Here is a 24,867-nt window from a genome sequence, read left to right as displayed (position 1 = left end):
TGGGGAGGCTCCAGGGATTCCTCCCCTTTAGTGAGGAGCTCAGTCAGGGGAACCACAGAGGGACTGAGGCTAAAGAGTGGGGCTGGGGCAGCGACCCCGGTGACCCCAGCCTAAACGCAGAACTGCAGCTGTCCTCATGAAGCTGAGTTGTCAAAGGATCCCTCAGCGTGATTGGTGATGTTCTCCAGCAAAGTTTTAGTAGCTTAGGAATGGCAGCCAAGACTTCAGACAGCTTGGGACCTGCCATGTGTGGCGGCTACAAATCAAACGAGTGCCAGGGAAGACACCTCTTCCCAAAGACAGGCTCTTGTTCCAGTGATGGAGGCAGAACTCAGGGTCAGCGGGGACATTAACCAGGATATGAAGGGGGCCATGATGTTCTTACCCTTTAGGTAAAATGAACAGGGTTTTGTGTGTACAGACTCCAGGTGAACATCACCTTTCATCACCATGCCAGCATTCAAAATCATGTTCATACGATATCTGCTCCTTTAGGCAAACAAATTCAAGCCAGAAATCGTACAGGGAATAATACCTTCTCGTTCACCATTGTGTCGTTCTGCAATAAATAATTTCCAGCCAGGGTGCTGGAGAATTCCAAATGATAGACATATTATGTTCATGAAAGGCAACTTTGAGAAAAATCTTGCTGCAATAAAAGTGAGGGTTTTTTCCCCCTTCTCAGCATCTCAGCTTGCCATAGAAATGAGTGATTTTCTGAATTTCTGCCAAGTTAGATGGGTTCAGTATGCTATTAGATTAGTCTGTTTATACAGAAACAGCCAAAAATAGGAAACACACAGAAGCTATTAAAGATATTGTCCTGTGAGGGAAAGATTTGAATGGTTTTCTTATTGCAAGTGGGAAATAAGATATGAGTCAGTATTAATGTGATAAAGAAGTTAATGCACTCTAAAGCAAACCGTCCAAATCTTCGTCTTGTTTCAGAGGTGACAATAAAAGGAACATCCAGACAATTATTTAGGGTTTGGTTAGCAAAGGAGGCAGAGAAACTTTGCAGAGCCCCTGCCAGTTGGAAATACATGTCCTTTACCACATAATGCTGGGGCACCCAGGGAGTTTTCCGAAGGGAACATGATTCCACGAAAAAAAAAAAAAAAAGATTAGAAAATAAATAAATAAAACAAGGTTTCAGAAATTCAAAAGCAAAAATTCCAATTTCACTTTTGCCCTTGAGTTGTTGTGCAAACAAATGGAAATCATATGACCTGTTAGGTCAATGTGATTCAAGAAGCAGGACATATATTGAATTCTACGTGCAAGATGCTGTGGGTTCTTACTTTCCTCATCTATAAAGTGGATGGTGCAACCTGGACTTTGAAGTCCCCTCATTTCTCCTCAGTAAGTCCCAACTTGACCTGTAGAGCAAAGACTTTGCCACATTCTGGTCACATGAGCTGCTCCTGATGATATTTTATTCTATACAATATGTGACTCTGTAGGTGGAAGTGTGTCTAAATAATGTCCGTATGAATCCCAGTAATGTATGTATATTATTTTCTTCTTCATTCATAGTGGAAAATAATGAAAAATAGAACTTTCCTCAAAAAGTACACTTTTTTTTTTTTTTTTTGAGACAGAGTCTGACTCTGTTGCCCAGGCTGGAGGTGCAGTGACATGACTCAGCTAATAACATCATGGCTCCTTTCACAACTTGGTTAATGTCCCAGCTGCCACCGCACTCACTGCAACCCCTGCCTCTCGGGTTCAAGTGATTCTCATCCCTCAGCCTCTCAAGTCGCTGGGACTACAAGCATGCGCCACCATGCCTGGCTGATTTTTGTATTTTTAGTAGAGATGGGGTTTCAGCATGTTGCCCAGGCTGGTCTCGAACTCATGACCTCAGGTGATCTGCCCGCCTTGGTCTCCCAAAGTGCTGGAATGACAGGCATGAGCCACCGTGTCTGGCCAAAGAGTACAGGTTTCTTATAAGATCATCAAATTCCCATCTCTCCTCTGAAACCTGGTGAGTAACTTAGAACTTGCTGTGCAGCCAAATGCCAAAGAAAGATGCAGTCTCTGTCTACTATCCAGGGTGTACACATTTTCTGTTGCCATCTAACAAATTACCAAAAGCTTAACAGCTTAAAGCCACATACATTTATTATCTTAAAGCTTCCATAGGATAGGAGTCTGGGCATGGCTGAGCTGGGTTCTCCATCCAGGGTCTTACCATGCTGAAATCTAGTTGCCTAGTGGGGCTGCGGTCTCATCAGAGGCTTGACTGGGGATGGTCAATCACCTTCAAGCTCCCTTAGGTTGCTAGCAGAACTCATTTCCTTGTGGTTATAGGACTAATGTCCTCATTTTCTTGCTGGCTTCCTTAGGGCACTCTCAGCTCCTAGAAGCCAAATGCAGTTCCTTACTGCAAGGCAGCTTACTTTTTCAAAGCCAGCAATGGAGAGAGAGACTCTCTTATTTTAGCTCCTCTTTAAGGGATTTTCCCCTTACTAAGTCAGGCCCACCCAGGAGGATCCCCCTGCTCATTAACTCAAAATCTGTCTCATGTAAGACCTTAATGGTATTTCCAAAATCCCTTTGCTTTGCCATATAGTGTAACCGAATCTAAACAGTTACATCCTATTATCTTTTTCATATTCTATTGGTCAGAAGTAAGTCTCCCATATCCCACCTACATTCAAGGTGGGGGAAGGGTGATCACATCAGGCCTTGGACACCAGGAGGTGGGGTATCACTGGGGCCGTCTTAGGGTCCATCTGTCAAACAGAGGAAGAAACTACAAGGGTTCACTTTTTTTTTTTTTTAAGATGGAGTTTCACTCTTGTCACCCAGGCTGGAGTACAGTGGCACGATCTCAGCTCCCTGCAACCCCCGTCTCCTGGGTTCAAGCGATTCTTAAGTCTCAGCCTCCTGTGTACCTGGGATTATGGGTGTACACTACCACGCCTGACTAATTTTGTATTTTTAGTAGAGGTGGGGTTTTACCATGTTGGCCAGGCTGGTCTCAAACTCCTGACCTCAGGTGATCTGCCTGCCTCGGCGTCCCAAAGTGCTGGGATTACAAGCATGAGCCACTGCGACCAGCCACAAGGGTTCACTTTTATCAGAGTAGGGTCAGAATTTATTTAATCACGAGCTTAGAAACTTGGTGCAGGAGAGAAGAATGGAGAGAAAAAGGATAGAATCCCAAATTTCTTCCCAATAGTCATATCTTTTCAAGGTTTTACTAAAATTATCTGCTGCCCAGGTATGATGTAATAAAATACTGGTGTGCTTAGAATGCACAGTTAAACTTCAGCAGCTAACAACTGGGTAGCCAAAACTTTCCTTCAACTAGCCCAAGAATGACATTGGACATCCAGGAGCACTAAAACATCAAGAAAAACCAGTACAATTTCAAAGACAAACCTGTGTCCAGTTGTCTAAAAGATTAAAACAAGAAGGCTGGGCACGGTGGCTCACGCCTGTAATCCCAGCACTTTGGGAGGCTAAGGTAGGCAGATCATGAGGTCAGGAGATCGAGACCATCCTGGCTAACATGGTGAAACCCCATCTTTACTAAAAAATACAAAAAATTAGCCAGGCATGGTGGTGAGTGCCTGTAGTCCCAGCTACTCCGCAGGCTGAGGCAGGAGAATGGCATGAACCCACGACGCAGAGCTCGTGGTGAGCCGAGATGGTGCCACTGCACTCCAGCCTAGACAACAGAGCAAGACTCTGTCTCAAAAAAAAAAAAAAAAAAAAAAAAAAAAAAGATTAGAACAACACAAGGTTAAAGGTGCAAGTGAATCATTGAATATACTGGCCAATAAAAGCCAAGTTCTGAGACTACCAAATAGAAGTAAAATGGAAATGTGTATCTAAGTAGAGGGAGAGATGCAACTGGAAGAAGAAAAGAATAAGCAACTCCAAGAGGGAAAAATAAATCAGTTACCAGGGGAGAGGTGAAAGGGGTGAGGATGAGGAGGTAAGACAGCAGCAGCAAACTGCCCACTAGGAGGAACTGGGTGGGTGGTGAGTAGGGGGTTAGAAGGGGGCATGAAAAGATAGATCTGTGAGTTAATGGAAAGTTCAGTTAACCAGAATGATATGCCAGTTAAGTACAATTCCACCGAGCTTGGCAGCCTTATTCTGGCCATTAACTTTAATGTTTCGCAGATCCCCAGCATTTTCACAGGTGTGAGTTAAAACCATCTGGTTTCTGCACTATACCCTGCCCATTAAAACCCAGCATTTTCAAAGATAAACTGTGGACCAAGGTGGCAGCAGGAGAAGAGAAAGGAAGTTAAAGGCTGCCACAGGCTTTACCTTAAACAGAAGGAGCCTTTCAACAGCCTTTGAGTTGGATTATTTTGAAATTGCAATGTAGAAAAAACTAAAAATACAGTGAGATGCTTTAATCTCCAGAAACACAATCTGGGTAAGTGAATTGCTCAAAAATAAAATTCCAACCAAATATACGCAATACGTAGTGACCTGGACATGAAAAAATGAAAGAAGAAATAAACTGAGGAAGAAATCCATATCCAAAAGTATGTCTTTATAGTAGTGATATTTATAAATTTGACACACTTGCCAGCAGAGCTCACTAAAGATTATTTCTATGCAAATATGCATTTTGCTAACCCATCGCTGTGCAAAAAGGAAAAAAAAACCATATTTCCTGAAAATCAATTCTTGTGCAGTACAAGTGCATCAAGAAGCAGGAAGTACACTGACAAATACTAAAATGTGCCAAATTTTCAAACTTCTCAGGGGACAAGAGTCCCAGATAAGGTGGCAGAGGACATAAAACTGTCCCACCCTACCCACTATCTAGTGTCTAGTCTGGAGAGGGTACATGACCAAGGCAGCTCTGCCAATGATACAGCTATCTTCTCCCATCCAGGGACCAAGTTTCGGCCTTGAATGTCCCAAGCACCATGGTTTTTTCCAGTTGATACAGAAACTTCTACACGAGTCTGTTGGAGGAAACTTGTCAAACCTAAGCACCTGATTGATAGGAGGCACAATGCAGGGATTCTATACAGACATTCAGCAGGTTCTTAGCAGAAAGCCATGGGCCAATCCTCTTCTGTACCTTAACAAACAGCCCTCCTAACAGCACAATTAAAACAGCTTGCTGCTTCTTGGTTAAGCCAGTTCCTTAGATTTCTCATTTCAGAAACCAAAAGGTATAGTATTATTATTCATCCTACTCACCATTAGCTACTAGGTACACCATCCTCATCAACTGTGTGCCAAATACTGTCCTAGGTATTCTAACTCATTATTAATTAGAGATGATCTTCCATTTGGCAGAAAAGGAAGCTGACGTTAGAGATTAGTCTCATTTTCTCTTTCACTTGGTTAATCAGGAGTAGTGCACATGCTACAGGAACTCAGATAAAGATAAGGCCTATGGTTCTGTTACTTTTATTTTTATTTATTTATTTATTTATTTTGGAGACAGGTTCTCACTCTGTCGCCCAGGCTAGATGGAGTACAACGGTGCAATCATGGTTCAACCTCCTTTGCTCAAGTGATTCTCCTGCCTCAGCCTCCTGAGTAGCTGGGACCACAGACATGCACCCCCATGTCTCATTTTTTTGTTGCTTTTATTTGGATACAGATGGGGTCTCATGATGTTGCCCAGGCTGGTCTCCAATTGCTGGGCTCAAGTGACCCTCCTACCTTGGACTCCCGAAGTGCTGGCTTTACAGACATGAGCCACCACGCCCAATTCACATGGTTCTTTTTACTATCACTATTGCCTCCATTTACTTCTGTATTTAACAAATTGTATAATAAAATTGAGATTAGAAGTGGCATCACAGCAGGAGCTGAAAGGGGATAGGAGGAGGTTGGCAGGGTCCTGTAATTATTCTGTGTATAACATGTGGGTGCGGGTCACCCATGTGCATGCAGTGTGTACAAATTTGTTGAGATATACACCTGGAGTGTGTGCCCTTTTCTACTTGCATTACACTTTTTTTTTTTTTTTTTGAGATGGCGTCTTGCTCTGTTGCCCAGGCTGGAGTGCAGTGGCGATCTCAGCTTACTGCAACCTCCGACTCCCAGGTTCAAGCGATTCTCATGTCTCAGCCTCCCAAGTAGCTGGGACTACAAGGGCAGGCCCCCATGCATGGCTACATATATATATATATATATATATATATATATATATATATATATATATATATATATATATATATATATATATATTTTTTTTTTAGTAGAAATGGGGTTTTGCCACGTTGGCCAGGCTGGTTTCAAATTCCCGACCTCCAGTGATCCTCCCACCTCAGCCTCCCAAAGTGCTGGAATTACAGACATGAGCCACCCCACCTGGCCTAACACTTAAATGAAGAGTTGAGGAAACTTTGCCCAGAAATTTCAGTATCTTAAAGTCTTTGTTCTTGCAGCAGCAGTGGGAGTTGCACCTTTCTCTGACTCCAAGGCCTCCTACTTGGAGAAGATCCATGCTGGGCACATCCAAGGTGTCCGCGTATAGCCTGTCAGCTGGGTCTGAGTGATTGGTCACTGACCAATTCAGGCCACAGGGCAGCGACTCCAAGCTTCCTTCTCCTCCTCTCAGGTCTCAGGTGGGGAAGACAGTGGGGAATTCTCTCATGAGTCATTATACATATTACAAGGAAGAAAGCAACTCTAGCTTTATTCCCCCGGATCAAACATGGATCCTGTTGAGAAGAGGTCTCTTATGAGAGCGTACTGTGTCCCAGACTTTGTATGTGGAAGCCCAAACCCCCAGTACCTCACAATGTGACTGTGTTTGGAGACAGAGCCTTTTAAGAGACAGTTCAGGTAAAATAAAGTCATTATATGGTGGACCCTAATCCAATATGACCAGTGCCCTCACAAGAAGAGGCCATAAGGATGCAAACGCACACAGAGGGAAGACCATGTGAAGACAGAGAAGATGGTCATCTCCAAGCCAGGGACAATGGTACAGAGAGAAACCAACCCTGCTGACACCTTGATCTAGGACTCCCAACCTCCAGAACTGTGAGGAACTACATTCCTGTTGTTTAAGCCACCTGACCTGTGGTATTTCTACAGCAGCCCAAGCAAAATAAAACAAGCTCCAGAGTGAGAACTGCGTCAGTGCTTTTCCATTTCAGATGGACAGAGGTTGGAGAGCAAGGACTTTAGAATCAGTGAGATCGGGACTCAAGTCCCCACTTTGTGCTGTGGCCTTCAGTGAGTGATTTCCTGCCTCCAAGCCTTGCGTCTCTCAGAGGCAAAATGTGGACAGTCATGGCCTCTTAGGCTTGCCATGAAAATTTAATTCAAGAACACATGAATAGCACTGAACACTACATCTGGCTCATAGCAGGTGCTCAATAAACACTAATTGTTAACATTATTCATATGAATGATAATATAATGAAGATTAAAAGTCCTTTCCCACTCACACTTTGTTATAAAGATGGGCAATGTGCACATGAAAAGATGCTAGGCAAAGATAGATTCATATTTTGACAGAAATGTCAAAATATAGCAAGACACCTTCATTCCATCATTCAAATAAACATTAACGGAGTTCCTGGGATGCTGGAGGCAACATGTGGATAGGGCCAATGCGTGAGATGCCCAAGATGGCACAGAAAAGACAGCCATGCACAAAGATTTCCTGGGACTGGGAAGAATGCAGCGGGGCCCACTGGAATACCTGAGCGCCATGCAAGCTTGAGGAGCAGGGGGACTCACTTCTAGTTTGGGATTGGGGGATACACCTCAGGGATCATCACCTGCTTTCCTCAGAACACACACAAGCACGTCCTCAGAGAAAGACGTGGGTGCTTCTTTATGTGGCTTCTTAAGTCCACCACTTGTGCTCGGCAAAGTCACTGCACTGAGCATTGTGAATGAACGATCAATTTCACGAAATACTTAGGCAAAGCAGCAAAGCCACAGTGTGGTCACTTTTTTTTTTTTTTTTTTGGATACAAGGTTTCTCTGTGTGGCCCAGGCTGGGGTGCAGTGGTGCAATGTCGGCTCACTGCAACCTCTGCCTCCTGGGCTCAAGTGATCCTTCCACCTCAGCCTCCTAAGTAGCTGAGGCCACAGGTGCACGCCACCACGCCCACCTAATATTTTCTATTCTTAGTTTCACCGTGTTGCCCAGGCTGGTCTTCAACTCCGGGGCTCAAGTGATCCACCTGCCTCAGCCTCCCAAAGTGCTGGGATTACAGGCGTGAGCCACCACAACAGGCCTATCACCTTTTAAAGACTAAACTGACCAGTTGATGTGGAGGGTTGAACAGAATGTCCAAGCTATTTTTCTGGCCATGTGCATGTTAGAGATGCATGGCAAGGCTGCCAAAATCACCACGCTGGGTTTTGTGTCTTCTCAGATCATGTCTACTATCTGACATGTGTCTCTTGTTAAAGCAAAAGGAACATTATAAAACATTATTGTGGTCTGAATGTGTCCCCCCAAAATTTATATGTTGAAATTCTAACCTCCAGAGTGGTAACATTAGGAAGTGCGGACTTTGGGAGGTAATTATGTCATTAGAGTGAAGGCTTCCTGAGTAGGGTTAGTGCCCTTTTATTTACTTTATTATTATTAGTGTTGATGGAGTCTCCTCCCTCTGTCTCCCAGACAGGAGTGCAGTGGCACCATCTCAGCTCACTGCAACCACTGCCTCCCAGGTTCAAGCAATTCTGCCTCACCCTTCCAAGTGGCTGGGATTACAAGCACAAGCCACCGAGCCTGGCTAAGTTTTTAGTTTTAGTAGAGACAGGGTTTCACCATGTCAGCCAGGCTGGTCTCGACCTCCTGACCTCAAGTGATCCACCGAGACACCTGCCTCGGCCTCCCAAAGTGCTGGGATTACAGGTGTGAGCCACCACTCCTGGCCATTAGTGCCCTTTTAAAAGATACCCCAGAGAGTTGCCTCTGCTAGTTGAGAAAATAGCAAGATGGACACCTATGAGATCAAAAACAAATCCTCACCGGACACTGAATCTGCCAGTGCCTTCCTCTTGGACTTCTCAGCCTCCGGAATTGTGAGAAATACATTTCCGTTGTTTATATATTATTCAGTCCATGGCATTTTGTTATAGCAGCCCAAAAAAACTAAGACAAACATCCTACTTGCTTATATAATTAAAAAAAAAACCACAAAAGTGTGTGTGTGCTTGTGTGGCCGTGGGAATGCATACACATGGCAGGGAAAGCCGAAGACAATTGCTACCAATACCCTTTCCAGGCCAAAGACACAGGGTAGGGAATTCTACGTAGGAAGTGAGAAGAATAGCTAATGTTATCTTCTTCTTAAAGATTATCCTGGCCAGGCACAGTAGTTCACGCCTGTAATCCCAGCACTTTGGGAGGCCAAGGCAGGCAGATCACGAGGTCAGGAGATCGAGACCATCCTGGCTAACACAGTGAAACCCTGTCTCTACTAAAAATACAAAAAATTAGCTGAGTGTGGTGGCGGGCGCCTGTAGTCCCAACTACTCGGGAGGCTGAGGCAGGAGAATGGCGTGAACTCGGGAGGCGGAGCTTACAGTGAGCGGAGACTGTGCCACTGCACTCCAGCCTGGGCAACAGAGTGAGACTCCGCCTCAAAAAAAAAAAAAAATTATCCTATTGATTTCCTAAAACAGCATTTCTTCCTTCCCTTTCTTTCAACCACTACTGTTTATTTATTATGTATTTATTTATTTCATTTATTTTTTGGAAATGGGGTCTTGCTCTGTTGCCCAGACTGGAATACAGTGGTGCGAACATAGCTGCAGCAACCTCCAACTCCTGGGCTCAGGGGATTCTCTTGCCTTACCTTTCTAGTAGTCCCAAGCAGCTGAGACTAGAGATGTGCACCACCACACCCAGTTAATTTTTAAATTTATAGTAGAGATGGGTCGTGCTATGCTGCCCAGCCTGGTCTTGAATTCTGGGCTTCAGGAGATCCTCCTGCCTCAGCCTCCCTACGTGTTGAAATTACAGGTGTGAGGTGCTGCACCCAGCCCCAACAACTTCTTTTTAGCCAACTATACACCAGGTACCGAGTCGCGGAGAGGAGAGCAAAGGCAGCCCAACTCCTAGGGGACCTGACGTCTGTAGCAGAGCCTGAAACTTAGGATCTCCCATTAGCGCCTTCAACAGTGGTGATGCCCTTTCAAAAAACAGAGAGTTTCTAGAATGTTATTACTTAGCTTACAACCTCTAAAAAATAATGGGAATGTGAGTATTTTAATTTAGCTAAAAATATAAACTTGTACAAATTATTTTACACATAGAATTTCACTAGAGTGTCCCCAGACTCAGGAACACCCCCTATTTCTGAATTGACAATGCATTAGCCCTACCTTCTAGCAAGATTAGGGAGGGAGCTGTATATAACACAGCCCAGAGCAAAACGTGATTAAACATGTATCAACTGATTAAAGCAAGCATCACAAAGAGCTATGGAAAAGGAAAATCTAAGAATGGATTTAAAAGATGGCTTGATGGCTGCAGCAAACCACCATGGCACATGTATACCTATGTAACAAGCCTGCACGTTCTGCACATGCATTCCAGAAGTTAACTTAAAAAAACATTTAAAAACCAAAACAAAAAGACAACTCTGTCAATATTTCTGGAGTGTACATAAAACACGTCAAGGAAGAGCCTGCTGTTGGCCCCGTCCCTCTTCATGTAGCGTTAGTATCAAAAAGGCGAGGCCCTGTAACTGGACTAAGGTGGAGGGGGTGGTCCCTCATCTGCCATACACCTATGTCTCTCTAGCTCAAAGACCCACACATTCCCCTGAAATTAAGAGAATGGCATCAACAGGTGTTCAATCTGCTCCCCAAGGTCAGCTTCAGAAGTGAGCCCAGCAGGACACACACCGTGAACAGGGTGGATCTGGGCTGGCCCAGAGGACCTGCCGCCCTCACCCCAGCCAGAGTATAGGAGATACCTCAGGGCCCCGGCTCAAAGGCAGCAATGTGGACTCAGAATAAATGATGCATTGAAGATATGATAAGCATGATTTTACCAAAAACAGAACAATACACACACAAATAAACCATGTTATTCTACTTGATTCCCTCTGCTTTGTGCATCTATTTATCTATACTGCCCAAGCTGGAAAGGACTGTATGAAACCCAAAAGGCTGTCAACACAGATAGTTCTTTCAATAACCATTTGATGGCAAAAGCAGTCTACAGCTGACAGAAGTTGTTTGTCCCACTGAGTGTGAATATTCATTCATTCTGATGTGAGATATTCATGTGCTTAATTACAAGGTGCTACCTCCAGGGGTGACACAACATGCAAGGTTCAGCGCATTTTCTGCAAAGAGCCAGATAGTAAATATTTTAGGCTTTGTGGGCATATGGTTACTGTCATGACTACTGAGCTCTGCCAACGTAGCTGAAAGCAGCCATCGCAGTACGTAAACCAACAGGTACAGCTGTATAGCAATAAAACTTTATTTACAAAAACAGGCCAGATTTGGCCTATGGGCTGTGAATTTGCTGACCCCTGTAATACACAGAATACGCAGTGTATTCTCTTCTTAAAATTTGAAAACTTCTGAATTCTGAAACACATCCGGCCCCCAAAGTTTCTGATAAGGGGTTGGGATCTTGTTCCCATTTTGGAAAGCATTCTCGGCTGGAAAGTTCGTTCCAAAGAGCTGGGGCCTTCCTCCAGTCACTGCTTAGCTAGCTTTCCCAGGTATTCTGCAGCCATCTCTAGCAATACTTACACAACAACAGTAGTGGTGATTGCATCTTGAATCCGGAATTCAGGTGTGTTGAACCAGTGGAGAACACCCACTATGGGTCAATTCCATCAGATAATTTGCATGCAGGTTTTGTAGAGGGAGAAAGCATAAATGTCCCTTGTAAGGGGGAGAGGAAACTGGCAGGACAGCGATTCTGCCAGAGGTAGGTTTCCCAGATGACCCTCATAGACACCAATCTGGTTTCAGGAGGGGCCTTGTAACAGGGACACTCAGGCAACCCCAGGGTCCAGATGACCAAGTGCGACACAGCATGGGGACAAATCACGCATCGGGACTTCAAGGAACACACTGGGGCTTCCATACGCTCATGTTTCTGAAAGAGTGATCCCTGCCCTAGGCCCGGAGAAGGTAGAGATGTTGGGAATGTCAGGAAATGGGACCTGGGCATAGACGTTCATGTGATCGGGGTGATGGGCACCAGCATCAAAAGGCATGGAGGGGAGTCCTCACTTGTCATTGTGAGCAGAGGAGCAAGCAGGAAGGCCCCATGCAAGAGAAGCTGAGGGCAGAAACCATGAGTTACTAAAGCACAGTTTCCTACAAACTCTCAAGAGGCACCTCTTGGGGAACCCAGAAGTACTGAGTGGTGTTCTGAGAAGGACAGGGTCATAGATCCACAGGTAGGGTGAAAGGCAAGGTTGGTAGTGACCCCAGAGCATCTGGAAAAAAATGAGACACATACTAAAATTTACTATTTCTTGAGCACTCATGTTACCCTAAGGGACTATGCTGAATGCCTTAGAGACGGTGGTTCTAATCCTTACAGCAATCCTGCAAAGTAAATATTGTAGCCTTCATTTTGTAGGTGAAAAAATTAACATGGGCTGGGTGGGGTGGCTCATGCCTGTAATCCCAGCACTTTGGGAGGCTGAGGCTGGAGGATGGCTTGAGAGGCCAGGAGTTTGAGACCAGCCTGGGCAACACAGCAAGTCTCTGTCTCTACAGAAACTAAAATTAAAAATAGCCAGGTGTGGTAGTGCACAACTGTAGTCCTACTTGGCAGGCTGATGTGGGAGGAATGCTTGAGCCCATGAGTTCCAGGCTGCAATGAAATCTGATTGTACACTGCACTATGGCCTAGGCAAAAGATTGAGCTCTGTCTACAAAACAAAACAAAAACAAAAACCTACATCATGTGCCAAGAGCCACCCGCACCTGCAGAGAAAAGGCTGGGCCCCAGATGCCTGACTCTGAGGCCTACGCCACGCTGCCTGCCGTAAGAGATGGGCCCTCCTTCATAGGATGACCCATCAAATGTATGGACACAAAGAGCTTGTCTACCTTCAAGTTTTACCTCCTTTAGAAATCAACATCCAAGTCACTTTGCCATCCTTCACAAACCTTCAAGGGCCCTTGCAATTGCTTTTCATTCTTGTCCATTTACACCTCTTTGTTAGAATCACTCTTGGGAAACAGTGCTCTCCAAAGAATACCTCCTCACTGTGCTGTAAGCAAATTCTGGCCCAAAGGAGTAGGTAATACAAGTTTCCTCATTTCCATCTCAATCTACCAACACTAAAGAATCCTAAAGGATATGCCAGGTGCACACCAGGATCCAACTTGCTTGAGAAGTCTTAAGTCTTCAGCCAATGCCTATTGAATCTTCTTGACCCCATCTGTGGGCTAGGCTGTATGGCTGTTCTGTTCTTTGCTACCCTTCCTATAGCTCATTGGCTTCTGGCTTGTATACATGATTTGCTTCAGCCAATGGAATGAGAGAAGCAATGCCACGCCCCTTCCAAAGTAGAAACTTTAAGATCCTTTGGTCTCACCACTGTTCTTTTTCCTTTCCTTGACAACAATACGTTCCTTGACTGAAGCTGATACTGGAGTGAGATCAGAGCAGCAGCCAACCATCAGCGACATGCACCATAAGTGAGAAATATATGAGTTGCTGAAAGCACTGATATTTGGAACTGTTTGTTCTGCGTAAAAAATCATGCAGAGGCTGGCTAACGCAGCATCTAACTATCATTTTCCCAAATATGTTGCCAAAATAACTCTCTGAAATTGAGACTAAGCTTCTTGGTCTTGCTTAGGGCAGTACTGGCCATACAGAGCTGGCCAGTACCTCCCATAAGTGTCTGTGGGAAGGAGGAGGGCAGGGAGGCCTCCAGGGAGGCAGGGCAGTCATATGACCAGGCTCATTTCACACAATAAAATGCACCAAAGAATTCCCTTAGGATAGACAATTTATTCATTTCAAACCAAGTAATCTCCTTGGCCCCCAGCCCCATCCTCAACCTCCTGTAGTTTTGTTATTTTTGTATTATCTAATTGCGTTGACAGGGGATTTAAAATAAAAGGCTAGGTTGATGTCATCAACGCTTGCCTAAACATATGAGAAGGAGATGTCTTTCACCAAAAGTCTCACGAAATGAACGTAGCAAATCACAAATTACTCCCTTGTCCAAGGGCAAAATTTCAACTACCTATTTCAGTCGTTTCAATAAGCAAATCTCTAATTAAATGATGAACAACTTGTCATTATGCTTTGGTGACCACACACACTGGGATATACATTTACTTGTTAAACTCAATTAAACAACATATGATTGAAATTGTTCTTCATATTGCAACTCTGCCTGCTTCCTACTTGGTTTTTTGTTGTTGTTGTTGTTTTTGTTGTTTTTAATGTTAAGAAACATGTCTCTGAAATTCCGTTCGTTCTCACTGTCCTGTGCTTAATGAGAAATTGTAGGCTTCCTGTCATTAATTGCAAGAATACGTTGTTCTACTTAATGCCACATTTGTAAATACAAACTATTAATAATAATAATGATAATGCCCCCAGAGTTTGCTGCATTCCAAACCTCCAGATTTTATAATATCAGAGCCATGCCATTAGCCCCGACGGTTTGATTATGATACATCCCTAAGTTAGATTTCTGTTTTCCACATCTCAGACCTAATATAAAAACTAGCACCCCATACCCACATATCTGGGTTCACTTTAGGAGAAGGGGCAACAGATATAAACAGACTTTCAGAACTCACACAGAGAGACTAGTCAATAAATGCACTGAGCAATTTTTTCAAGCAAAATTTAAAATTAATATGTCCAGGTAAGACAGCTTCCTTCCCACCCCAACACTATAGCTTTAAAGGAATGAGTATTGTAGGTGACCTTTTATCTTTTAAATAAGAATTGAGCTCCTCGTTCAAAGACAGATTTGTTCTTCCTTTGATAGAAGAAGAAATAGTTATCTCCTTTAGTATACCACCTTCAATATTCTTACACATGAATAGTAATGAAATTGAATCTTTTTTTCCCCCTCTATGGATAGGTTTTGTGGAAAAATTAAATGCCACATCTAACCTTCTAGTGTACTTCATATCTCTGGGAAGAATTATGAAAAGGAGGGTAAAAGGGATCTTTATCACAAACTGAATTAACGCACAAAGTACTCCATTTGGAAGGTATATCAAGCGAATCCATTAAAAACCCTTCAAAGGCACCAAGTGAGGACACCTTGAAAATGAAGCAGGGACCTTGCCACAGACCAGCAAAGAAACCTTGCTGAAGCAGCAGTCTTTCCAGCGAGATCGCAATCGGACATTCAGCGGATTCGCAGAGCTACCTTCTGCTAAATAAAGGTCGTTTGCGTCACTGTTACTTAAAGGGGGGTGGGGGTGGGGGCTCTGAGCCTGTTTATTCTATGCTACCCCCTACACACGCACAAGCTCTTAATAGAGAAACCTGGTAATTAATCACTAAAGCAAGAAAAGGTTGAAATTAGACAGAAACTAAAAACACGCACATTTTTAAATCACAGGGATTAGCAGATAGCTTTGGAAAAAATATTTTCATTTGCATGGTATAGCTTCCTGTACTTTGGACCCACCTCACCCCTTTGTTTTCCAAACGAAACTATATTTTTGATAGCCCAGACTGACAAGGCAAGGCAGAATGCAAACTTGGAGTAGATGTCCAAAGACAGGCTGCATTTTAAGAGTGACAGGGACCAGGAAGCCCCCAAGAGCCTGCCTGGTGAAGCCAGGGAATCACTGTCTCCTAGGAGGGGTATGAGGAGTCTGGGAAAAAGAAAAAAAAAGAAAAGAAAGAAAGAAAAAAAAAAACCTCAGAGGCATGTGACTTGACCAGAAAACATTTTTTTTTTTCTTTTTTAAGTCACATGCCTGGACTTTTACTTAGAAAATAGGACTATCGCTTTAAAAGCAAGATTCTTCCACTCTCCTGGTGGGGAAGCATATAGCTATTTCAGTGTTTCCTCTCTGAGCAAGAAAATAAAATACATCAGTGCTAAGCCTCCCCTTGAAAATGAGGTTATCAAAGAAAAGCTTAAAAAACAAAAACCAGAACAAAAAAATAACTTGGCAGTTTTACTTTCAAGATGCAAACACCAAAAACCTGTCAGGAAACAATGATATCTATCAACACTTCCTAGTTTTCACCAAATATATTTTAGAGAAAGGATAGAAAGATTTCAAATATAACCTTCCCCTGCCCCTCTGTAATGTTTGTCTTTAAAAATAAATCTGGTGGGACAGAAAGGTATTTGACATACTGTTTAATAACTAATTTTTCTATCATTTTAATAAAACTCAGCCTTTAAAAAAGGGTCCCAAATATGAAGAATCAAATATGCTCCCCAGACATGCTAGATTATTTGTCATAAAAAGAGTAGAGATTTTATTGCTGCTAGTTAAATCGTTTCGAGCATATAGGAAGTTTCCGAGGTCAGACCATTCATGTGCCCAGATTTGGAATTTAAGACCACCTGACCCTTTGTCATTTCTATAAAGGCTAGAAAAAATAAAGGGAGGGAACAGATACTTCAACCCAGGAACCCCTGGAGGGCAGGCGACCCCGGCTTTAGTTGTCCTGGGTCCGCAGTACTCCAAATGAGCAGCTGGGAACTGTAAAGGTCCCGTCATGTCAGTAATGCCTGTTCCCTTTGAAACCAAGGGTGGACGCCAACTGACAGGAAGATGGAACGGGTTGGTGACCCTGCACTTGACCCTTCCACAGTATGGGTCTGCAGAAGTCTGACGAACTTACCTCACTTAACTCTTTCTGGGCATTTCTGCACAGAGTGGCTCTTGAACCTCCCAACAGCAGGGAGAACTCCGGTTTCCCTGCTGAAAGGGAAAACACTGTGGCCAAGTCGCAGCTTTATAAGGCAACTTCCACTCTGCCTGGGGCAAGAGCACAGAGTAAGGAGACAGTTATGTAGCACAGGCATTTGGGGGATTCAAACAGACTTGCAATCTGGTTTCATAAATGGTAAGGGCTTTGAAAGAAAGCAAAACAGGATAGACCTCATTATTCTGCAGTAGAGAAACTGGCCTTTTAAGCTGAACCTCATGACTGTATCAGCATCCTGGTCCTGAGTGTATTTTCACAGTTCTTTTCTTTGTTCTGTCTCATGCATGGTGTATTTCTGCTTAGATTTACCAGGAAGGGCCCCGTGGCATGGTCAACGTACGACCTCTCTGGGTTTCAGGCACTCTCAGGCTTGGAGAAAGCCACATCACATCATATCAAATGCACTAAAATGGTTCCATCTCCCACATTCAATATCACTGAAATCTAATGATATAAGATTTGTGTTGCGGTTGACTAGTGACATAATATTATGTTTTGTAGGTATTTAATTATACTTTGATAGATTTTAACTTTGCGATTTTCTTTCCATAATTCAGAGCCAGCAATATTTTTACAGGTCTCAAACATGTGTGCAGGTCCCCGACAAGCTCTTGTACCCTAAGCCCTGCAGGTACCTATTGTACCCGATAGAAAATCCAGCCCTTTTCCGTGGCACCAAAAGACACGCTCCAAAGAGAAATGACAAATATGAAAATGCAATGAAACACCCTGACACAGCACACTCTGCCCTTGACCAAAACAAACACACACACACCCTACTCCAGTTTTTCTCTTAAGGGCCCCTATATCCTCCTTCTCTGTAGACAGCCAAAAAAAAAAAAAAGAAGAACAAATGAGTCACTCCTCTTACGCCAGCTGAATGCCTCGGATGGTCATTCTTTGGAGACTTCTCCGGGTCTAAGACAACAGTTCACACTCTAAGACCCTTTGGTTGGTTTCAGGTGTAAGACTTTGCTAAATTACAGCCCTTAGCACCAATAAAAATCTTTATAACAATTTTTGAAAGATTTTTGAAACAATTTGTGCTTAATTATCATTGGACAAATATATGCAAAGATAAGCTGACAACTTTCCAAACTCTTCCATCGTCTCTGGACTCACAAACAAAAGGGAAGAGAAGTAAATGATGTAAGCGTATTTCATTTACGTACTCACAGGAGCCCCGATTCTTACAACTATTTTGTATATATTTTTAATATAGTTTATTAAATATTGTATTTGAAAATATAAACCGCTTTATTAAAGTAATTAATGTTTTTATAATAAAATATGAAGTATTTTATTAACTGTGTATTTATTGTGTTTTCTGTTTTCTCATTTTGTATTTTAACTAATTAATAAAATCAACTTTTCATCCAATCTGAATCATTCCATTTCTGGCAACTCTTCCACAGCCCCTTGGCCACCATTTGCATTGTTCTGAGAAGTGGGGAACTCTATTCAGTTCACCAGGTTGTGGGCAGACAGACAAAAACAAAAACAGAGTCTGCCCATTAGTCCTGCACAAAAATGATCATTGGACATAATTAATCAGCGATGTGAACCGCTGTGGACATAAAAGACAATTGTCTTTTCTCCCCAACAATCCCTGCCCACTCAAGTGTTCAGGTACTCAGTTACATTCAACACAGGCTAATTCACTTATCCTCAACAAGTGGGCTATTGATTTTTGCCTGTTTTCAGAACAGCCTGTGGCTTTCTGAATGACAATAGCGTCCCCTATTTAAAAAAAAAAAAAAAAAAAAAAAACTGCAATTCTGGGGAAATGCCCTTTCAGTCGTCCTAATCGGGCTGGCTTCACATTTGTCTGGATGTGTTCACATATTCAACTTCGTGTCACTGATTTTCGCACCATTCTTTTCTCCTTATTCCTGCGGAATGTGGCATATTTCTTGTCTTTTTAAGCTGACAGGTCAACAGGATTTGCTTTTGTTCAGAGGGGCTCATATGAAGGGTACAAGAAATTCCCGGACATAGCAGGAGCAGGGCATCAAGCACCCTTTTTTTTTTCTTTCTTTCTTCTCTTGGTCATCAACTTCTGAAAAGCATGTAGCCCACATTCTAATTTTCCAAAAGAATAAATCCAAAGTAACCGTTTCCTTTGTACTTCTACATTAATAGTAAATAGCATCCTTCTTATAAAAGAGAAACAATTTTAAAATGATGTAAAATTTTAAATGTGCTAAACTTTTTAAGTGATTGCACCAAATTAAAAAAGAGACTACAAAGAGAGCCAGTTTTTGTTGAAAAGAAGTATGTGTTTTTACATTAATTATATTAAGTTTTAATAATAGCCCAGTGGTAAATTTTGACTGTGTTAACGAAACCATGATGATTGGTTGTGGACTAGTAGTTTGATAGCCATAAATGTTAAGCGTAAACTGAACAGTGTCTTTAATTTGGGAGGGCATCCCTCGTAGCAGAATGTGTCTCCTAACTAGTATATATTTTGACAATAGGCATTCGAGAAGCTGCAGTACTACTCCAGCCAAAGCTGCCCATTCAATTCAGATGCTGAGTCTATTACAAATGCGCATGTTTCAGCTTCTTGCTCCATGCAAGAGGTATTTGAACTTGCATATTAATTATAGGGCCAAATATGGTGCTGGAAAAAAAGAACAACACACACACACACTCCACTTAACCAGGGGAAAGGTTCAATTTAACCATGAGTGCCCCAACATTGCTTCATCAGAGCTTCTTCCTATCCTTTCCATGAAGGGCAAAGATAACTGGCTATTTTCATCATCTGTAGACACTCAGGAATATGACAAAGAACTATGCCTCCAAGCACGAGAGGCGGAGTTGTAATTCTGGATAGCTGAGTTTCTAAATAAAGAAATTTTAACATTTGGGTTGTTAATTAGGTTGCTCTAGAAAGGGCAGGCATTGGTTGATTTTTTTTAAACTCTGGGCATATTTTCCATTCTTCAGTTAGCACAATGGTAACAGAAAACTGGCTACCCTTTTGACAAGGGCCAAGGGAAAGAAAAAAAAAATAGGCTGGAGTGGTCTTGCCTTTCTTTCACTGAGAGTAGAAGAGCGAGGTTCCCTCCCTTGACATGAGCCCTGTCTTTGTGTTTTGCACCTGGATTTTTTTTTTTTTAAGGACTTAAGAAGTCAAATCACTAAATATTGATTATATAAGACATGCCTGAGCAAGACACACCATGAGGGAGACAGAGGAAGAGGAAGCAGGAGGCTGGAGAGACAACGCTAACAATGAAAAAATTATGGGGAAACAATGACATATCAAATATCATGAAGTGGCAAACTCACAGGATACAGATACATCAGGCATTCCTAGACTTTGAAGGTCTAGTAGAGAAAAAAAAAGCTAGCCAGGCTAACACAGACTTAACAACTTTTAAGTTTGCCAACTGAGGGCTTTAAAAAGAAAACAAAATCAGCATTTAAAAAGGAAAGAAAAGAAGGGAGGAAGGGAGAGAGGGAGGGAAAAAGGGAAGGAGGGAGTGAGGGAGGGAGGAAGGAAAGAAAGGAAGGAAAGAAAGGAAGGAAAGAAGGGAGGGAGGGAGGGAAGAAGACAGGGAGGGAGGGAGGGAGGAAGGGAAGGAGGGAGGGAGGAAGGGAAGGAGGGAGGGAGGAAGGGAAGGAGGGAGGGAGGGGGGAAGGAGGGAGGGAGGAAGGGAAGGAGGGAGGGAGGAAGGAGGGAGGGGGGAAGGAGGGAGGGGGGAAGGAGGGAGGGGGGAAGGAGGGAGGGGGGAAGGAGGGAGGGGGGAAGGAGGGAGGGGGGAAGGAGGGAGGGGGGAAGGAGGGAGGGGGGAAGGAGGGAGGGGGGAAGGAAGGAAGGAATCTTTTTTAAATCTTTATTAAAGGAAATGGTATTTAACATTGAAGAAAAAGGGTAAATAATAGAATCCTAAAAGAAATACTTTAAAATTGATACAACGTAGCTCATGAAAAACTCACTATTTTGTATTTTTCTAATTTTTACAAAAGAATGGTGAAAGTTTTGTCACAGACGGACCTCTGGGATTTAACAGATGACAATTCTCTTTTGCTCACCCTCACAGCATCACTCAGCACCGTGCTTGGTACAAGGGCTCCATGAATATTTGCTGAATAAACGAGGGCCCATGTACAGTAACATCTGCCACACTAAAGCATTCATGAGGGCTAGAGAAGTCAGGGTTAAGAGGACAAGATGTAAGACCATGAAGGCATTGGTGTGGTAGAGAAAATAAGGAAGGGTGCCCCAGGAGTTACATTTGGAGTACATGTAAACAAAGTATTTTGGGCCCATCCACATGCATCTGAATTTGTGTCTTCAAAATTCAGATTCTAATTTTATTTATTTATTTATTTTTTAGACAAGGTCTCGGTCACCCAGGCTAGAATTCAGTGGCGTGATCACAGCTCACTGCAGCCTCCACCTCCCGGGCTCAAGCGATCCTACCGCCTCAGCCTCCTTAGTAGCTGGGACTATAGGTGTGTGCCACCATGGCCAACTAATTTTCTTCTATGTCTTGTAGTAGAAGGGTTTCCCTATGTTACCCAGGCTGATCTTGAACTCCTAGGCTCAAGCAATCCTCCCACGTCAGCCTCCTGAAGTGCTGGGATTACAGGTGTGAGCCACTATGTCAGCCAGCTTCTAATTTTTGAGAGAGTCTACTGACACTGAGTCAGATGGAGAGTGGTCAGTCACTTGTCTGTCCCCACCCCACTTGTTCCAACTAGATAAGAAACAAAGTGTTCTCTTTCAATTTCATTACAGGACATATTTTTTATTTTATTTTATATTTATTTACTTATTTTGAGAGTGTCTCACTCTGTTGCCCAGGTTGGAGTGCAGTGGCACAATCTTAGTTCACTGCAACCTCCTCCTCCTGGGTTCAAGCGATTCTCCTGCCTCAGTCTCCTGAGTAGCTGGGACTACAGGTGGCTGCCACCACGCCCAGCTAATTTTTTATTTTTAGGTGAGATGGGGTTTCACCATGTTGGCCAGGCTGGTCTCGAACTCCTGGCCTCAAGTAATCCGTCCTCCTCAACCTCCCAAAATGCTGGGATTGCAGGCATGAGGCACTGCACCCAGCAGGATATAGTTTTTTAAAATGCATGTAGTTTGCCTGATCACCCAGTGGGGGCGTTCATCCCTGATACTCAGAATGAGATCTTTTTGGTGCAGTTGATGCTGGTGAGAGGACAGGCCCAAAGGGACCTTCTGGCTCCTCCAGTCACCACCTGATGACTTAAACTATGAGCATCCAATGCCTTATCTGTGCCATGAAAATGATATTGGCACTTCTCCAGGTGTGGCAGAGAAGCTGTTAGAAGATGATGTGCATAAAACAGCATAGCACAGAGCCTTGCCCAAGAGTGGGGGCTTAAGAGCAACGCAAGAAGGAAAAATAAATAAACAAATAAAACATCTGATTGCAGTTAGTACTCCACCTCCACCCCGTTCACAATTTCTGAAAACACGCTAGATACTGGCAAGGTGGAGTATTACATTTTGTTGAATCTAAGAACGCAGAATGGTTCTGATCAGGGAGATGGAAAGAGAAAGCTAATCAGCAATGACAAGTAAAAAGTGTATGCAGAAGACAGAGCGGAGATTCAAGTCTCAGGATTGGCAAAAATTACTCAATTTCTCTAAGCCTCAATTTTCTTATCTGTAAAATGGAGAGAATGATAGCATCTACTCTTAGCAGACTTAAATGGAACGCTACAAGATAAACCATGTAAACCATTTTGTGCAGTGCCCAGCATACAGTAAATGGATCGTTAAAGAAAAATGATTTATTGTTATTTTCACTATTCCTGTCATGACAATGATCAGAACAGAGTAACCACTTGAAAAACCTGGCCGGAAGGATATGGCTACTTTAGATTTCAGTTTATCTTTTGCATGGAAAGGGATGATGCTACCAGCACAACAGCTTTCGTTGTCAGCCAAATAAGATCTATCGAGAAGAGGCCGGGTGTGGTGGCTAGCACCTGTAATCCCAGCACTTTGAGAGGCCGAGGTGGGTGGATCACAAGGGCAGGAGTTCGAGATCAGCCTGGCCAATATAGTGAAACCCCGTCTCCACTAAAAATATAAAAAATTAGCCAGGAGTGGTGGCACGTGCCTTTAGTCCCAGCTACTCAGGAGGCTGAGGCAGGAGAATCGCTGGAACCTAGGAGGTGAAGGTTGCAGTAAGCCGAGATTACACCACTGCACTCCAGTCTGGCTGTCAGATCGAGACTCTGTCTAAAAAAAATCTATCCAGATCTATCCAGAAGAGAACAGGAGAATAAAATACGAATGGGAAAATACTGAAGTAAGAGGTAACTCTCACAGTCCTCTATGCTCTGACTAAAGAGAGATTCTACTAGTGTGATTAGTTCAAAAGCGTGTAATAAGCCCAACAGAATCATTTTAAAATAAGACTCTAATTTCAGGAACCTAAGGAAGTCTGCATTTTAATAAGATATTTCATTATATCCCTAATACGAAACCATTGTTTGCCTGACTCTATAATTTATTGTTAGACAGACACTGCACTATTACCAAAGCAAAATGAAACAGATGATGATTTCGCTAATAAAACAATTGGATCATGAGGCAAAACCCAGCTCGGCACTTAAAACAGGGCTGAAAAACTCCGAGTAGGGATCTGCAGAGTCGAATATTCCCAGTTGGAATGTCACCTTTCCCTACTCTTCCGCAGAGAAAATCATTGAAATAGCCTGCTAACAATACCATTACTGTCTCCCTAACTTAATCCTTTGTTCCTTCCAGAGAAAAGACTTCTGCTGATTATGAATATTCCACTCTACAATTTCCATCAATTAATATACTACCACATTCTTATTATGGTATTCATAGCTTCTTGATTTACATTAGAAAGTATATATTTTACACCACGGGTAAAGCTATTTCTTCCCCTTTAACGGAAAGTGCTTATATAAAAAGACCTTACAATTTGGAAAATGGCGGTGGGGTATGTGTGTGTGAATAATGGCTTGGAGATAATAGATTCTATTCTCCTTTCTGGTTTTTTTCCTTTCTTTTTTTTTTTTCTCTCTGCTGGGGAATTCCCATGCACCAGTCAAGGAAGGCAACACAGTTGCCCTGAACCTCCTCTGTCTTACCCGTTTCTTTCTAGAGCTAAGCCTGAGTGTCTCTCCAGAATCTGTCTCCAACAGTTTATAGAATTCAGAGTTTGCAACTTGCTTTTCACAAACACCCAAAGGGGCAAAGAGGGACCCGGCTTCCTTCTGGGTGAGTAAAATAAGGCAGGTGGCACTGAAGAAGAAAGGAATCTTGGTGATAAAGGAGTTCTATATGAGTGGCAGAGAGGCCAACCTGGGTTTGCCTCTCCATCCCTGCTGTGCGAGGAGCCATGTCACTTATACACCCTGAGTCCTGAAGGCCTGACACATAAAATCAGGGTATTTACATCCCTGCCCCAGGTATTATGTGGAAACTGAACGAGGTTGAGGGTGCAGGCAATGCTTTAAATAGTGACAGAGGGATGGCAGAAGCTCTAGTAGGAAAGGCAGTCTCTTGCCCAGGTACCTCCAAAGCTACAGATGCCCTGCAGAGACTGAGATGGCCACAGGGTCACACAGGCTTCTCCCTGTCACGATAGGCAGAGGATTCTAGGCGTGAGTCACCTGCACAGTGACATCTGAGTCCATTCTAGACATCCGATTCAAAGGGTTGAGCACTCCCAAGATGGCTGTACAGAGAAGTCAAGCCTAGAATTCTCTCAGTGTCCAGACTTCAGGGCTTATGCTTTCATGGCCCTATTGTCTTGCTGTCGTTCTAGGGCAGTTTCATCAGCTACCAGGGTTTCCTGAAGAATCCAGAAGATTATAGTCTCAGTCATGCCACAGGGTAGCTGTGCAGTCACAAGATGGGTCCTTCACCTCTCTGGACTATAGCCCCACAAAATGATGATGATCCCTAGGAGAAGTGGTATCCTGCCCTCATCTTTCATTCTGTAAACATGGATGCTTTAACCCACGGAGGGTTGGGGGGAAAGAAAAGAATACTT

General features: G+C 43.2%; 1 protein-coding gene and 1 long non-coding RNA gene across 3 annotated transcripts in view, besides 1 other annotated feature; both read right to left on the bottom strand.

The window, feature by feature from the left end:
• The window catches only part of WWOX (WW domain containing oxidoreductase), a 1,113,014-nt gene that overhangs the window by 587,339 nt on the left and 500,808 nt on the right, over positions 1 to 24,867 (bottom strand). The window lies entirely within an intron of this gene.
• LOC105371354 (uncharacterized) lies at positions 11,398 to 16,852 on the bottom strand. The gene is made up of 2 exons (XR_001752380.2): positions 16,754 to 16,852; positions 11,398 to 12,389 (listed from the first exon to the last, which is right to left on the bottom strand). It is a non-coding gene; the product is annotated as an uncharacterized LOC105371354 (long non-coding RNA).
• Positions 12,890 to 13,433: an enhancer, noted in NCBI's record as "NANOG hESC enhancer chr16:78645793-78646336 (GRCh37/hg19 assembly coordinates)". NCBI's record gives its function as "activates a minimal SCP1, AML or CMV promoter by ChIP-STARR-seq in naive H9 embryonic stem cells {active_cell/tissue: H9 hESC(naive)}" and the evidence as "EXISTENCE:reporter gene assay evidence [ECO:0000049][PMID:30033119]".

This window comes from Homo sapiens, chromosome 16 (assembly GCF_000001405.40).
Source record: "Homo sapiens chromosome 16, GRCh38.p14 Primary Assembly".
NCBI lineage: Eukaryota > Metazoa > Chordata > Mammalia > Primates > Hominidae > Homo > Homo sapiens.
The sequence above is the reverse complement of the archived record's forward strand: the minus strand, read 5'-3'. Positions and strand labels throughout refer to the sequence as shown.